We start from the raw sequence: 16,353 nt of genomic DNA on the forward strand, positions 1-16,353 counted from the left end.
CCTCCCCCATCCCCCAACCCCACAACAGTCCCCAGAGCGTGATGTTCCCCTTCCTGTGTCCATTGATCTCATTGTTCAATTCCCACCTATGAGTGAGAATATGCGGTGTTTGGTTTTTTGTTCTTGCGATAGTTTACTGAGAATGATGATTTCCAATTTCATCCATGTCCCTACAAAGGACATGAACTCATTTTATGGCTGCATAGTATTCCATGGTGTATATGTGCCACGTTTTCTTAATCCAGTCTATCATTGTTGGACATTTGGGTTGGTTCCAAGTCTTTGCTATTGTGAATAGTGCCGCAATAAACATACGTGTGCATGTGTCTTTATAGCAGCATGACTTATAGTCCTTTGGGTATATACCCAGTAATGGGATGGCTGGGTTAAATGGTATTTCTAGTTCTAGATCCCTGAAGAATCGCCACACTGACTTCCACATTGGTTGAACTAGTTTACAGTCCCACCAACAGTGTAATAGTGTTCCTATTTCTCCACATACTCTCCAGCACTTGTTGTTTCCTGACTTTTTAATGATTGCCATTCTAACTGGTGTGAGATAATATCCCATTGCGGTTTTGATTTGCATTTCTCTGATGGCCAGTGATGATGAGCATTTTTTCATCAGTCTTTTGGCTGCATAAATGTCTTCTTTTGAGAAGTGTCTGTTCATATCCTTTGCCCACTTTTTCATGGGGTTGTTTGTTATTTCTTGTAAATTTGTTTGAGTTCATTGTAGATTCTGGATATTAGCCCTTTGTCAGATAAGTAGGTTGTGAAAATTTTCTCCCATTTTGTGGGTTGCCTGTTCACTCTGATGGTAGTTTCTTTTGCTGTGCAGAAGCTCTTTAGTTTAATTAGATCCCATTTGTCAATTTTGGCTTTTGTTGCCATTGCTTTTGGTGTTTTAGACATGAAGTCCTTGCCCATGCCTATGTCCTGAATAGTAATGCCTAGGTTTTCTTCTAGGGTTTTTATGGTTTTAGGTCTAACATTTAAATCTTTAATCCATCTTGAATTGATTTTTGTACAAGGTGTAAGGAAGGGATCCAGTTTCAGCTTTCTACATATGGCTAGCCAGTTTTCCCAGCACCATTTGTTAAATAGGGAATCCTTTCCCTATTTCTTGTTTTTCTCAGGTTTGTCAAAGATCAGATAGTTGTAGATATGTGGCATTATTTCTGAGGGCTCTGTTCTGTTCCATTGATCTATATCTCTGTTTTGGTACCAGTACCATGCTGTTTTGGTTACTGTAGCCTTGTAGTATAGTTTGAAGTCAGGTAGTGTGATGCCTCCAGCTTTGTTCTTTTGGCTCAGGATTGACTTGGCAATGCGGGCTCTTTTTTGGTTCCATATGAACTTTAAAGTAGTTTTTTCCAATTCTGTGAAGAAAGTCATTGGTAGCTTGATGGGGATGGCATTGAATCTATAAATTACCTTGGGCAGTATGGCCATTTTCACAATATTGATTCTTCCTACCCATGAGCATGGAATGTTCTTCCATTTGTTTGTATCCTTTTATTTCATTGAGCAGTGCTTTGTAGTTCTCCTTGAAGAGGTCCTTCACATCCCTTGTAAGGTGGATTCTTAGGTATTTTATTCTCTTTGAAGCAATTGTGAATAGGAGTTCACTCATGATTTGGCTCTCTGTTCGTCTGTTATTGGTATACAAGAATGCTTGTGATTTTTGCACATTGATTTTGTATCGTGAGACTCTGCTGAAGTTGCTTATCAGCTTAAGGAGATTTTGGGCTGAAACAATGGGGTTTTCTAGATATTCAATCATGTCATCTGCAAACAGGGACAATTTGACTTCCTCTTTTCCTAATTGAATAACCTTTATTTCCTTCTCCTGCCTGATTGCCCTGGCCAGAACTTCCAACACTATGTTGAATAGCAGTGGTGAGAGAGGGCATCCCTGTCTTGTGCCAGTTTTCAAAGGGAATGCTTCCAGTTTTTGCCCATTCAGTATGATATTGGCTGTGGGTTTGTCATAAATAGCTCTTATTATTTTGAGATATGTCCCATCAATACCTAATTTATTGAGAGTTCTTAGCATGAAGGGCTGTTGAATTTTGTCAAAGGCCTTTTCTGCATCTATTGAGATAATCATGTGGTTTTTGTCTTTGGTTCTGTTTATATGCTGGATTACATTTATTGATTTGCGTATATTGAACCAGCCTCACATCCCAGGGATGAAGCCCACTTGATCTTGGTGGATAAGCTTTTTGATGTGCTGCTGGATTCGGTTTACCAGTATTTTATTGAGGATTTTTGCATCAATGTTCATCAAGGATATTGGTTTAAAATTCTCTTTTTTGGTTCTGTCTCTGCCCGGCTTTGGTATCAGGATGATGCTGGCCTCATAAAATGAGTTAGGGAGGATTCCCTCTTTTTATATTGATTGGAATAGTTTCAGAAGGAATGGTACCAGTTCCTCCTTGTACCTCTGGGAGAATTCGGCTGTGAATCCATCTGGTCCTGGACTCTTTTTGGTTGGCCAAGCTATTAATTATTGCCACAATTTCAGCTCCTGTTATTGGTCTATTCAGAGATTCAACTTCTTCCTGGTTTAGTCTTGGGAGAGTGTATGTGTCGAGGAATTTATCCATTTCTTCTAGATTTTCTAGATTATCTGCATAGAGGTGTTTGTAGTAATCTCTGATGGTAGTTTGTATTTCTGTGGGATTGGTGGTGATATCCCCTTTATCATTTTTTATTGCGTCTATTTGATTCTTCTCTCTTTTTTTCTTTATTAGTCTTGCTAGCGGTCAATCAACTTTGTTGATCCTTTCAAAAAAGCAGCTCCTGGATTCATTAATTTTTGAAGCGTTTTTTGTGTCTCTATTTCCTTCAGTTCTGCTCTGATTTTAGTTATTTCTTGCCTTCTGCTAGCTTTTGAATGTGTTTGCTCTTGCTTTTCTAGTTCTTTTAATTGTGATGTTAGGGTGTCAATTTTGGATCTTTCCTGCTTTCTCTTGTGGACATTTAGTGCTATAAATTTCCCTCTAAACACTGCTTTGAATGTGTCCCAGAGATTCTGGTATGTTGTGTCTTTGTTCTGGTTGGTTTCAAAGAACATCTTTATTTTTGCCTTCATTTCGTTATGTACCCAGTAGTCATTCAGGAGCAGGTTGTTCAGTTTCCATGTAGTTGAGCGTTTTTGAGTGAGTTTCTTAATCCTGAGTTCTAGTTTGATTGCACTGTGGTCTGAGAGATAGTTTCTTATAATTTCTGCTCTTTTACATTTGATGAGGAGAGCTTTACTTCCAACTATGTGGTCAATTTTGGAATAGGTGTGGTGTGGTGCTGAAAAAAATGTATATTCTATTGATTTGGGGAGGAGAGTTCTGTAGATGTCTATTAGGTCTGCTTGGTGGAGAGCTGAGTTCAATTCCTGGATATCCTTGTTAACTTTCTATCTCGTCGATCTGTCTAATGTTGACAGTGGGGTGTTAAAGTCTCCCATTATTAATGTGTGGGAGTCTAAGTCTCTTTGTAGGTCACTCAGGAGTTGCTTTATGAATCTGGGTGCTCCTGTATTGGGTGCATATATATTTAGGATAGTTAGCTCTTCTTGTTGAATTGATCCCTTTATCATTATGTAATGGCCTTCTTTTTCTCTTTTGATCTTTGTTGCTTTAAAGTCTGTTTTATCAGAGACTAGGATTCCAACCCCTGCCTTTTTTTGTTTTCCATTTGCTTGGTAGATCTTCCTCCATCCCTTTATTTTGAGCCTATGTGTGTCTCTGCATGTGAGATGGGTTTCCTGAATACAGCACACTGATGGGTCTTGACTCTTTATCCAATTTGCCAATCTGTGTCATTTAATTGAAGCATTTCGTCCATTTACATTTAAAGTTAATAGTGTTATGTGTGAATTTGATCCTGTCATTATGATGTTAGCTGGTTATTTTGCTCGTTAGTTGATGCAGTTTCTTCCTAGTCTCAATGGTCTTTACATTTTGGCATGATTTTGCAGCGGCTGGTACCGGTTGTTCCTTTCCATGTTTAGTGCTTCCTTCAGGAGCTCTTTTAGGGCAGGCCTGGTGGTGACAAAATCTCTCAGCATTTGCTTGTCTGTAAAGTATTTTATTTCTCCTTCACTTATGAAGCTTAGTTTGGCTGGATATGAAATTCTGGGTTGAAAATTCTTTTCTTTAAGAATGTTGAATATTGGCTCCCACTCTCTTCTGGCTTGTAGAGTTTCTGCCGAGAGATCAGCTGTTAGTCTGATGGGCTTCCCTTTGTGGGTAACCCGACGTTTCTCTCTGGCTGCCCTTAACATTTTTTCCTTCATTTCAACTTTGGTGAATCTGACAATTATGTGTCTTGGAGTTGCTCTTCTCGAGGAGTATCTTTGTGGCGTTCTCTGTATTTCCTGAATCTGAATGTTGGCCTGCCTTGCTAGATTGGGGAAGTTCTCCTGGATAATATCCTGTAGAGTGTTTTCCAACTTGGTTCCATTCTCCCCGTCACTTTCAGGTACACCAATCAGACGTAGATTTGGTCTTTTCACATAGTCCCATATTTCTTGGAGGCTTTGTTCATTTCTTTTTATTCTTTTTTCTCTAAACTTCCCTTCTCGCTTCATTTCATTCATTTCATCTTCCATCACTGATATCCTTTCTTCCAGTTGATCGCATTGGCTCCTGAGGCTTCTGCATTCTTCACGTAGTTCTCAAACCTTGGCTTTCAGCTCCATCAGCTCCTTTAAGTACTTCTCTGTATTGGTTATTCTAGTTATACATTCGTCTAAATTTTTTTCAAAGTTTTTAACTTCTTTGCCTTTGGTTTGAATTTCCTCCTGTAGCTCATAGTTTGATCGTCTGAAGCCTTCTTCTCTGAACTTGTCAAAGTCATTCTCCGTCCAGCTTTGTTCCATTGCTGGTGAGGAACTGTGTTCCTTTGGAGGAGACAGAGGTGCTCTGCTTTTTAGAGTTTCCAGTTTTTCTGCTCTGTTTTTTCCCCATCTTTGTGGTTTTATCTACTTTTGGTCTTTGATGATGGTGATGTACAGATGGGTTTTTGGTGTGGATGTCCTTTCTGTTTGTTAGTTTTCCTTCTAACAGACAGGACCCTCAGTTGCAGGTCTGTTGGAGTTTGCTAGAGGTCCACTTCAGACCCTGTTTGCCTGGGTATCAGCAGCGGTGTTTGCAGAACAGCGGTTTTTCGTGAACCGTGAATGCTGCTGTCTAATCGTTCCTCTGGAAGTTTTGTCTCAGAGGAGTACCCTGCCGTGTGAAGTGTCAGTCTGCCCCTACTGGGGGGTGCCTCCCAGTTAGGCTGCTCAGGGTTCAGGGGTCAGGGACCCACTTGAGGAGGCAGTCTGCCCATTCTCAGATCTCCAGCTGCGTGCTGGGAGAACCACTGCTCTCTTGAAAGCTGTCACGCAGGGACATTTAAGTCTGCAGAGGTTACCGCTGTCTTTTTGTTTGTCTGTGCCCTGTCCCCAGAGGTGGAGCCTACAGAGGCAGGCAGGCCTCCTGGAGCTGTGGTGGGCTCCAACCAGTTCGAGCTTCCCGGCTGCTTTGTTTACCTAAGCAAGCCTGGGCAATGGCGGGCACCCCTCCCCCAGCCTCGCTGCCGACTTGCAGTTTGATCTCAGACTGCTGTGCTAGCAATCAGCGAGACTCCGTGGGTGTAGGACCCTCCGAGCCAGGTGCGGGATATAATCTCCTGGTGCGCCGTTTTTTAAGCCTGTTGGAAAAGCGCAGTATTCGGGTGGGAATGACCCGATTTTCCAGGTGCCGTCTGTCACCCCTTTCTTTGACTAGGAAAGGGAACTCCCTGACCCCTTGCACTTCCCGAGTGAGGCAATGCCTCGCCCTGCTTCGGCTCGTGCATCGTGCACTGCACCCAATGACCTGCGCCCACTGTCTGGCACTCCCTAGTGAGATGAACCCGGTACCTCAGATGGAAATGCAGAAATCACCCGTCTTCTGCGTCGCTCACGCTGGGAGCTGTAGACCAGAGCTGTTCCTATTCGGCCATCTTGGCTCCTCCCTGGGAAAAAATTTTTTTAACCTGCCACTTCAAATGTTCAAATTGAGTCACTTTAGATGTCCTGAAAAAAATGTATTGTTAAGATTTGCGAGCATTCTAACGAAGGGGATAATCACGCTAAGAAATTAAGACATTTCAAAATTTCAAGCTTTTGCTTTTTCTTTTTACATTTTCACTTTTTTTCCCACGTCAGATGGGTCACGTGCCGACATCATCACAAGATTTGAGGGAGGCACATGTCACACATGAATGTGAAAACCCAATCATCACACTTAGGAACCAACAGGAAGAGCTTTTGCTTTTGACTTGGCATTTTGGCTTACGAGCACAGTGAACGTCCACAATTCTCATCTGAAACACTAAAAATTCTAGAAATTATATTTAATCATTATCTTTCATTAACTCTAAAATGCACATTTCTTTTTTTTTTGAGACAGTCTCACTCTTGTCACCCAGGCTGGAGTGCAATGGCAGGATCTCTGCTCACTGCAACCTCCACCTCCTGGGTTCAAGCGATTCTCCCGCCTCAGCCTCCCGAGTAGCTGCGATTATAAGCACACGCCACCATGCCCAGCTAATTTTTTTTGTATTTTTAGTAAAGACAGGGTTTCACCATGTTGGCCAGGCTGGTCTCAAACTCCTGACCTCAGGTGATCCACTCACCTCGGCCTCCCAAAGTGCTGGGATTACAGGCGTGAGCCACCGCGCCTGGCGCAGATGCACATTTCTTTTCGTCTATTTCCAATTCTAAATTTGGGTAGAATTTCACAATGAATGGCATCTTTCAATTGCAGTCAGATGGACAGCAGTCGCAAAGCAATTTTCATGTGTGAATATTTAAAAATTCAGCATTGAATTGAATTAGCAGAATGGGTCTCAGCAACTGTAATGAAAACCCTGAGATATACCAGAGCAGTTACTAACCCTAGGCACCAAATGGTGGTTGGAAGTGCTGGGATCTGTTCCTCTACATTTCCAGCCCAGCAACAGTCAGAATTGTGTTAACATGACAAAATTGCAGTGGTAAACAGCTTAAGAACTCAGCATTAGTGAACTAACTTACTCTTTTATTTCCTTCTTTGTTTTTCTTTTTCTTTCTCTCTCTCTTTCTCCTTCCTTGCTTGCTTTTTTTTTTTTTTGTCAGAGTCTCACTCTGTCACCCAGGCAGGAGTACAGCAGCGCTGTCTCAGCTCACTGTCTCTGCCTCCCAGGTTCAAGCGATTCTTGTGCCTCAGCCTCGCAAGTAGCTGGGATTACAGGCATGTGCCACCTTGCTGGGCTAATTTTTATATTTTTAGTAGAGACGGGGTTTCAACATGTTGGACAGACTAGTCTCAAACTCATGGCCTCAAGTGATCTACCCACCTTGGCCTGCCAAAGTGCTGGGATTACAGGTGTGGGCACCATGCCTGGCTGAACTTTCATTTTATAAATTTATTTTTCCCAGAAACTTTGTAGAAGATGTTAATGCAAAATAAACAAAAAAATTCTTTTAAAACTATTTCACCAATATTCTTTATAGCACAAAGGGCAAATTGCGTGGCAAAATAGAGACACTGAAGTCTTGAGTTGAAAGTGATTCAGAAGACTTAAACTTTCTTGTACAGAAGTTTCAGGAGTAAAACTTACCTGATGTATTTTTCTTGTATTTTTTATATGTTTATAAGACTGTTAAATGATAAATGCCTATATATCGTTAAGTCCAGAAGAGTTCTTTCAATAAATATATTTTAAAAATATATTAGATACACTCAATTCCTTCCTAAGAGATCATTTAAATAACAGGAGGTGCTGGGAAATAGTTTAACTGGCTAGGTTTCTTTTTCTCAGTTGTACATAAAATGTGTATCTACCAATCAGTGGCGTCATGGGCAATAAAATATGGACATAAAAATATAGATACAGCAGCAGTATTTAAATATCTGATTTCTAGGTAAACTTGCTATTAGCTAAAAATTATCCATTAGTTTATTCTTGTAACCAGGCCTTTCTATTTTTTTTTTTTTTTTTTTTTTTTTTTGAGACAGAGTCTCGCTCTGTCACCCAGGCTGGAGTGCAGTGGCACAATCTCGGCTCACTGCAAGCTGAGCCTCCCAGATTCATGCCATTCTCCTGCCTCAGCATCCCGAGTAGCTGGGTCTACAGGCGCCCACCACCATGCCCAGCTAATTTTTTGTATTTTTAGTGGAGACGGGGTTTCACCATGTTAGCCAGGATGGTCTCGATCTCCTGACCTCGTGATCTGCCCACCTCGGCCTCCCAAAGTGCTGGGATTACAGGCGTGAGCCACCACGCCTGGCCGCCTTTCTCTTCTAATACATTTTAGACTGATGGGAAGCAATAAAGGATCTAGCTTAGAGAGCTACTTATACCCCATCAACTTCTAAACACCATCAGATTCAATCCAAAGACTAAAAATCAACAAAATTCACCAAGTTGGGTCTTTTGTTTTTGAATTTTGTACTATTATCTGTTCAACATACAAGTAAAGTTAGTAAAAATATTTTAAAAATAAAAATTTGTCATTTGGAAGAACATAGTTTTGACATTTAAAAGATACAAGCTGGACAATAATAGAAGCTAGGAGTTATCAGAGCCTCCAATGACTATCCTGTAAGAAAATGTTCAAAGACAGAGCTGACTTAGAGTGAGTACACTCTCTGGAGGAAAAGAAAAAGCAATTCCATATGGAGAGTTTTAATTTTAGATGGCTTCTCTTGTCAACTTCATTTCTGTTCCTCCCCTTCGTTGAAAATCGCTGTTCTCAGAAATTGTGTAAAGGGTTGAGGGTGGAGAGAGAATTGTCTGTGCTTACATTAAAAAAAAAAAAAAGTCATCTCAAACTGAAGTCCTCTTCTGAGGCACTTAAGATAGTTCAAGAAGAGAAATTTACCCTCAATATCTAGGAAATGTTCTCTCTGTATTTCTCTGAACATAAGAAAGTCTAAGTGAGACATTTCAAGACATCCTTCATTTCATTTCCTCCCTGCATTCCTATCCAAAAGGCCAAAACACCAAAACTAGCTTATTATTCCTGCTATTCTTTCATAGACTTCATCAGCTGAATGCAGAAAAAGTAAGATTTGCTGTAAATGGAGGAGCTAAGCTACTATCAGAAGGTACTAATAACCTTGATTAGGATATTAGAGTCTATAGATAGTGGTCAAAGGGCTTGTCTTAGGCGAGTACATTGCCGACAATACCAGAACTAGAACTCAAGCCAACTACTCGATTTCCAAGTAGTACATTTATATGTTACGCTGAGAAGGAAAATTGCTATCTTCCTTACAACATTGAAGCTAAAAAAAAATTTGTTCCATGTACGGGTATAAGTACTGCATGCTTGATACAGCAAACAGAGGTTTCCATTGACTATTTTCATTGAGTCCAAATTTCCCTTAACTAGCAGACGGCTCTTACTCATCTCAGCAAGCTCCTAGCAGATTGACTTTTTACTGTGCAAGGAGTAGAAGTCAGCAGGGAACTCGGATCCTGAAACAATAAGAAAATTGAGTTGAGATGGATATGTAAGAACCTTCTGTTATAGTAAACAACGTTCACAAGACTTGACTTTCCTCTTCAACGAAATGTGAAATAGCATTTCCTGTATCTTAATTTAATCTGCCTAATAAAATGTTTATAAATGGATTACATCATCTGCAACTGCACAGAATTTAAGGCAAACTCACTTAACTCTAGAGATGCACTCTTTGAAATTGTATTTAGAGACTATGTGATATCCTGTATTCTCTGTCCTGGCCAGTATGGACCAGCACCTAGGACTGCAGGCCACCTCTTCTTATTCATGCTATACCATCTTCTGGCCCAAAGTGACCATGTGAGGTTCCAAGAAAAAGGACCATTGAGGGAGTACAAGCCACGTCACAGAGATCCCCACTGATGGAAGGAAGCAATGGAGTAGATGGCCAAAAACTCTTTGAATGTTATTTCAAATCTGCCTCGGATTATACATTGGACCTATTATAAGGGAATTTATTTCAAATTAAGTAGTGAAGCTACATTGCAAAAGCACAGATAGCTCCTAGTCCATGCTGCTGTTTCTGAGTGAATAACTAAATAAGTGAGCCTAAAGGGGTTTCAGCACAGTCCAAGTTTTCCCTCTCTCTGACCTTCTCCTCCAGCCCCATGGCAGCGTCTTGAGGAGATGTAACTCAAAACAGAAACCCAAGGTGAAATTCTTCTTGATCAAAGCCTGTTAAGCTCAAAACTTATATAGAGAAGAGAAAAGAAATATTTTCTTTTTAAAAGGTCTCTCTTTCCTCTTCAGCCTCTACTGAGAACCACCACCCCAAACCTGAAAGCCCCAAACAGACAGTGTCTGCTCGGCTGGCTTTAGTGAGGTTAGACAAAGATAAACCACATGGTGGTGGCTGCCCCAAGCCCCAGCAATTCCAAGAATTACTAACTGAATCCATGGCCACATCAGCCCATCTTCTGGTGAAGCTAACGTCATCTGGCTTGTGTCCTGAATAATACCTTAGTGATTATCTGAAGATCACTGATACTCAGCCCTGCTCTCTCTTTGCCTTGAATCTGCCCAATTACCTCATCAAATTCCTTAACGTATTAAATGAAACCATGACTGGGGGGCTTAAATCTTTAGTCTTCTGCCCTTCCCCATTCTACCCCAACTTATTTTACACATCTCAAGCAAATGAGAGCATCCATTCTATGCTTAATACCCTCCCACTTCCTTTTTCCTATAAAGATGCCCAGCGGTCATCTCACGTTTTTGTTAATCACTACACAACACCAAAGCCAAGAAAAGGACGAGATTCACTGCAACACTCATTCACGGAGGCAAACCTACTTCACTATGAATCTCTGTTCATTGTGTTTGGGGTTTAGAGAACTCTATTTAGGGGTCTAGTTTAATCACCAAAAATCGAGCCCCCTAAGATTAAAATGTTTTCTGATGATTTCTAAACAGCCGACGCAGGCATTGTGCCTAAAGAGGAAAGGGTCAGTTTGCCCCTGGGCTCCTGGACACATCAGCATGAAGCTTCAGAACTCATCAGCCATCTGTATCGAGCGGGCTATCTGAGGATGCATGTCAGAGCTCTTGTAATCCAGCATCCAGCAATTGAGCTTAAGTGTCACTCCTGGCTAGATATCCAGGCATGCCCCATGCCCACTAGGTCCCATGGGTACAACAAACTCCAGGCACCAGTACATGATGTTATTCATTGAACGGCACTCACTTTATGATCTGTGGCTGGCACACTGTTAATTACATGGCAAGGAGAGGTCAATATCAAGCTAAAATGGAACCCAGCTGTCCCACAATATAATCACGTCCACCTGAGACACTGAGCCGTCACCTTTAAATCACTTGTAAGCACTAGCTTTCATAGCCTCTCTTCTATCAATAAGCCACACCACAAATGCAGTCCCTGAATCCTGCAGTTTTTCAGCATAAAGCGACATTTTCTTAGCACACTCCAAATTTAAAGCCTATTTTCTCAATAAAAGAGGAAAGGGGTTAAGAATGGTAAAAAATCAATGGCGAAGTGGGACCCGAGATAAAGTGGAGGGGGCAGAGAGAAAGGTGATATAGAAAAAAGGAGTGGAAGGGAAAAAAGGAAGGCGGGAAAAGAAAAGAGAAACAGCATTTGAAACACTGCAAAGAGAAAATGATCAGCAGAATAATAAGGAGACAAAGAAAAGGAGTGAAAGAAAAATAGGTTGGGTAGTTTGGTGAGATGAGCATATCCATAGTGTTTGTTCCTTCCAAATTTTGAATACGGGCTTCATAGCAAGCTGTTCACTACTACCAACACCTTGTGCAATGCAAATTAGTCACTACCAAATCTCTACATTTGTCTGCAAATTTTCAATGTCCAGTTGGAACGGCATGCCAATAGTAACACATCACAGAAAGTATTGTCAGGCTGCAGAGTCAGTCCTCCCCTTAGGACAGCTGAAACCAAACAGCAGTTGAGACGGGCGGCCCACCATGGAGTTACACCCAGGGTCACCTTCCAACAGGTTTCTTAACCCTCTGGGGACACTTGGCTTTCACTCTTCCCCATGCCCAACTCAAAACCCAACAGGCTGGGCACTGTGGCTCATGCCTGTAATCCTAGCACTTTGGGAGGCCAAGGCAGGCAGATTGCCTGAGCTCAGGAGTTCGAGACCAGCCTGGGAAACATGGTGAAACCTTGTCTCTACTAAACATACAAAAAATTAGCTGGGCGTGGTGGTGCACGCCTGTAATCCCAGCTACTCGGGAGGCTGAGGCACCAGAATCACTTGAACCCAGGAGGCGGAGGTTGCAGTGAGCCGAGATTGTACCACTGCACTCCAGCCTGGGCGACAGAGTGAGATTCTGTCTCAAAGAAAAAACAAAACAAAACAAAACCAACAAACGACTCATGATCACTTTAGAATGGACAGTGTCTCTGTTCTCAGTGTATAAGAACATAGTTACTTTTAGTTCCAAGTTGAACTGCAATACCTGAAAATGATTTTCACAGCAGCATAGGATTCAGATTAGACACAAGAAAGAACTTTCAAGTGATGTTTGGAATGATATACAGGAGATCGTGGCTGGTTCTACAACAGTCTTTGGATATAGCTGAGAATATGCTGTCATTTACTAGAGATAATAATTTCAGTATAGCCTACAATGGGCTAGGCAAATTAATTTCAGAATGACCTTTAACATCTCAACAATTTCCCAAGCTCCCCAAAGACTCATCGACTGTTATACTTTCACTGTCATTTCCTAGAAAAGCTTCCTCAGAATCCTAACAATACTTTCAAAGAAAAGGACTGCTTCCTTATTGTCACCTCCTCCCTATGCATTGACAAAGTACTTTCTTATAAATGACAATGTGCTAAAAATAGTCACAAATAAAACAAAACAAAAAGCAACATATAGCCTAACGACCATGAAAGTCTCCAAATATTTTGGTCTATCGCAGTGAGATAACTGAAAAGGAAACAGAAAGCTGTAAGAATAAAAATGTACAATATAATATTGCTTACAAAAATACTAGAACATTGAATGTCCAGTACTTAAAAATATCAAAATATATACAATGCATCAACCCAATGGAATGAACAGCCATAAAAGTAATTGTGGTATAACAATATGAAAAAGTGCTTGTGAGATAATGCTTCAAGTAAAACATAGAATAATCTTTTCCCTCCTATTACAATTATTTGACCATTTACAAAATGACCAAAAACTGGAAGCAAACAGGAAACAAAAATAACTAACGGATGCACTGTCATGGAAACATGGAACACATTTTCTTTTATTTCTCTATTACTTTTATGCTGATATTGGTTGCAGTAAACAAAAGTTAGAAGACAAAGTAAAGAAGGGAAAAGGAAAACACAGTTATAGCTTTTAGACGACTATATAATCAACGTCAGACAATACTGGCATAGACCAATATGGAAGACACAGCTCAATGCCTAAGTACGGATATGGTGTAGCCATTAAAAATGCTTAGGAAGGACTGTAGATGTATCTTCCAGTGGGAAAAGTGACCCAGCAGAAATGGACATTGTATGTTACAAACTAGATAAAAGGTGGGAAGAAGAGTTTCCAGTGGAACTGAAATTAAGAGCTTCAAGGAATTAAAGAAGACCACCTTTCCAATTAGACACTCTCAGAATGAGAACTCTAAACATAGCATGTTCTAGCAGAAGATTGTCAGATAAAGCAAATCTGAGATTTCATTTTCTGTGCCCTGTCAAGAAAACTTTCTGCTATGAGTGGCTTGTAAAACTCATGATACTCCACTCTGTGTCAATGGTTGCCAAACACATTCACACATAAAGCAAAATATACTAGCAATTAAAAACATCATGAGCACAAGAAAGTACAAAGAAGTGGCATGGGAATAGTGCTTCTTTCAATAGTTCTCAAACTTCAGAGCTAATTAAATTTCTTTGTTTTCCCCAATTGGAAGCATAGTAATTAGTAATATTCAAGTTACAGCACAATAATTTAAAATGTATTCTGAGAATAATTTGAATTAAATCTTAGGAAATAAACAAAAGTGACCTTCCTTCTAAAGACTGACTTTATTTTGAAAACTATTTGTATTTGTTTTCCTCTGTTATGTGTCGCATTTCATTCCTGTCACTCTGTGTTCAAGAGGACACTACTTAAAGATTTCTAATTTAGTGTGTACCTAATGAGAGAAAGCTAGAGAGTGATTGCTCCAGCTGCTGGGTGGTCATGGATTGATTAAGGTTTGTGGATTACTCTGGCCCTTCTTTTCCTTGACTCACTGCTTACTATGTGGTATATACTGGGACCTAGAGAGGTCATCAGTGAAGGGAAATTAGATAAAATCTGTATCTATGTTACTCTTTGTATTTGAAGGGGAGGTTTACTTTATAGATTGAAATCAGCTTTCTAAAATATCCACAGATCCATCAAACCAAATAAATGCCCCTCCCCCAAACTCAAGACAGCCAATGCATGATTCAGGAGGGAGTTAGGCACTGGGGAACTTCCTGTGATGGTTAATTGTACATGTCAACTTGCCTGGGCCAAGGAACACCCAGATAGCTGGTGAAGCATTATCTCGGTGTGTCTGTGAGTGTGTTTCTGGGAGGGATTAGCAGTATGTTAGTCCGTTTTCATGCTGCTGATAAAGACATACCCGAGACTGGGTAATTCATAAAGAAAAAGAGGTTTAATGGACTCACAGTGCCACGTGGCTGGGGAGGCCTCACAATCATGGCGGAAGGTCAAAGGCATGTCTTACACTACAACAGGCAAGGAGAGAATAAGAACCAAGCAAAGGGGAAACGTCTTACAAAACCATCAGATCTTGTAAGACTTATTCACTACCACGAGAATAGCATGGGAGAAACTGCCCCCATGATTCAATTATCTCCCACTGAGTTGTTCCCACAACACACGGGAGTCATGGGAGCTACAATTCCCCATCTCTTCAAAAAAAAAAAAAAAGAAAAAATTAGCCAGGCATGGTGGCGCCTGTAGTCCCAGCTACTCAGGAGGCTGAGGTGGGAGGATCGCCTGAGCCCAGGAGGCAGAGGTTGCAGTAAGCTGAGATCACACCACTGCACTCCAGCCTGGGCAACAAAGCCAGACCCTGTCTCAAAAAAATTTTTTTAATTAGAAAAAAAACAGTATTAGCACCATAGAAAGATATTTAAAACCACACAATAGTAGAGAATAAAAATTGTAAAAGTCAGGAGAGACGTACCTCCTCATACGAGGTGGCAAGGCACCTTGCCTCTGTAAGTTTCTCTCCAAAAACCTATAACCCCAGTCTAATCATGAGAAATATGAGACAAACCCAAACTGAAGAACAGTCTACAAAACACATGACCAGACTTGCTAGGAAATATCAAGGCCATTAAAAATAAGGAAAGACTGAGAAGCTGTCGCAGGTTGAATGAGACTATAACTAAATGCTACCTGGGATCTGAGGAAAGAAAAGGACATCAGGGAAAAACCTGGTGAAATCCTAAAACACTCTGCTGTTTGGTTAACAGGATCACACACTGTTAATATTTGGTTTTGATAAATATACTTTGTGTAAGACATAATGTGTATGATATTAGCATTGCCGGAAGCTAGGTAAAGGGAACAGGGTAACACTCTGTACTATGGCTGCGACAGTTCAGTCAACCCCAAATTATTTCCAAATAGATAGCTTAAGAAAAAAAGGCAACAGATAATTTTTTTCTTAGAGGGAACAGACTGGCGAGGGGAATTTTGTTCATGTGGCTTAAAAGTAATCCAAATTTAATCTGAATGTTTGCATATAGCTCTTTTTTTTTTTTTTTTGAGACGGAGTCTCACACTGTCACCCAGGCTGGAGTGCACTGGCGCGATCTTGGCTCACTGCAACCTCCGCCTCCAGGGTTCAAGTGATTCTCCCACCTCAGCCTCCCGAGTATCTGTGATTACAGGGGCCCGCCACCACGACCGGCTAATTTTTTGTATTTTTAGTAGAGACAGGATTTCACTATGTTGCCCAGGCTGGTCTCGACCTCCTGACCTTGTGATCCGCCTGCCTCGGCCTCCCAAAGTGCTGGGATTACAGGCGTGAGCCACCGAGCCCGGCCTTGCATATAGCTCTTTCAACTTTAAAAACAAAAGGCAAAATATTTTAGGAAAAGCTGAATTATCAAATACATGTGAATGGGGAAAGAGGAACAAAGACTTGGGCAAGGCTGGCTACATGGAAACAGTAGAAAGAAAGAATCACTTCCTTGGATCTGCTGCTAAGATAAGCTGTACATTAATAATCATGTACACAAAAGAAATCAGCAACATATCAAAATTGAGATTGTCAATTTATTCTCAAGGTAGCGAGGTGCTTTTGC

General features: G+C 40.9%; 1 protein-coding gene and 1 non-coding gene across 15 annotated transcripts in view; both read right to left on the reverse strand.

Moving 5' to 3' along the window:
* ELMO1 (engulfment and cell motility 1) overlaps nt 1-16,353 on the reverse strand; it is a 596,421-nt gene that overhangs the window by 310,579 nt on the left and 269,489 nt on the right. The window lies entirely within an intron of this gene.
* Nucleotides 6,194-6,295, reverse strand: LOC124901833 (small nucleolar RNA U13). The gene has a single exon (XR_007060669.1). It is a non-coding gene; the product is annotated as a small nucleolar RNA U13 (small nucleolar RNA).

The sequence above is a fragment of the Homo sapiens genome, chromosome 7 (assembly GCF_000001405.40).
Source record: "Homo sapiens chromosome 7, GRCh38.p14 Primary Assembly".
Classification (NCBI taxonomy): Eukaryota; Metazoa; Chordata; class Mammalia; order Primates; family Hominidae; genus Homo; species Homo sapiens.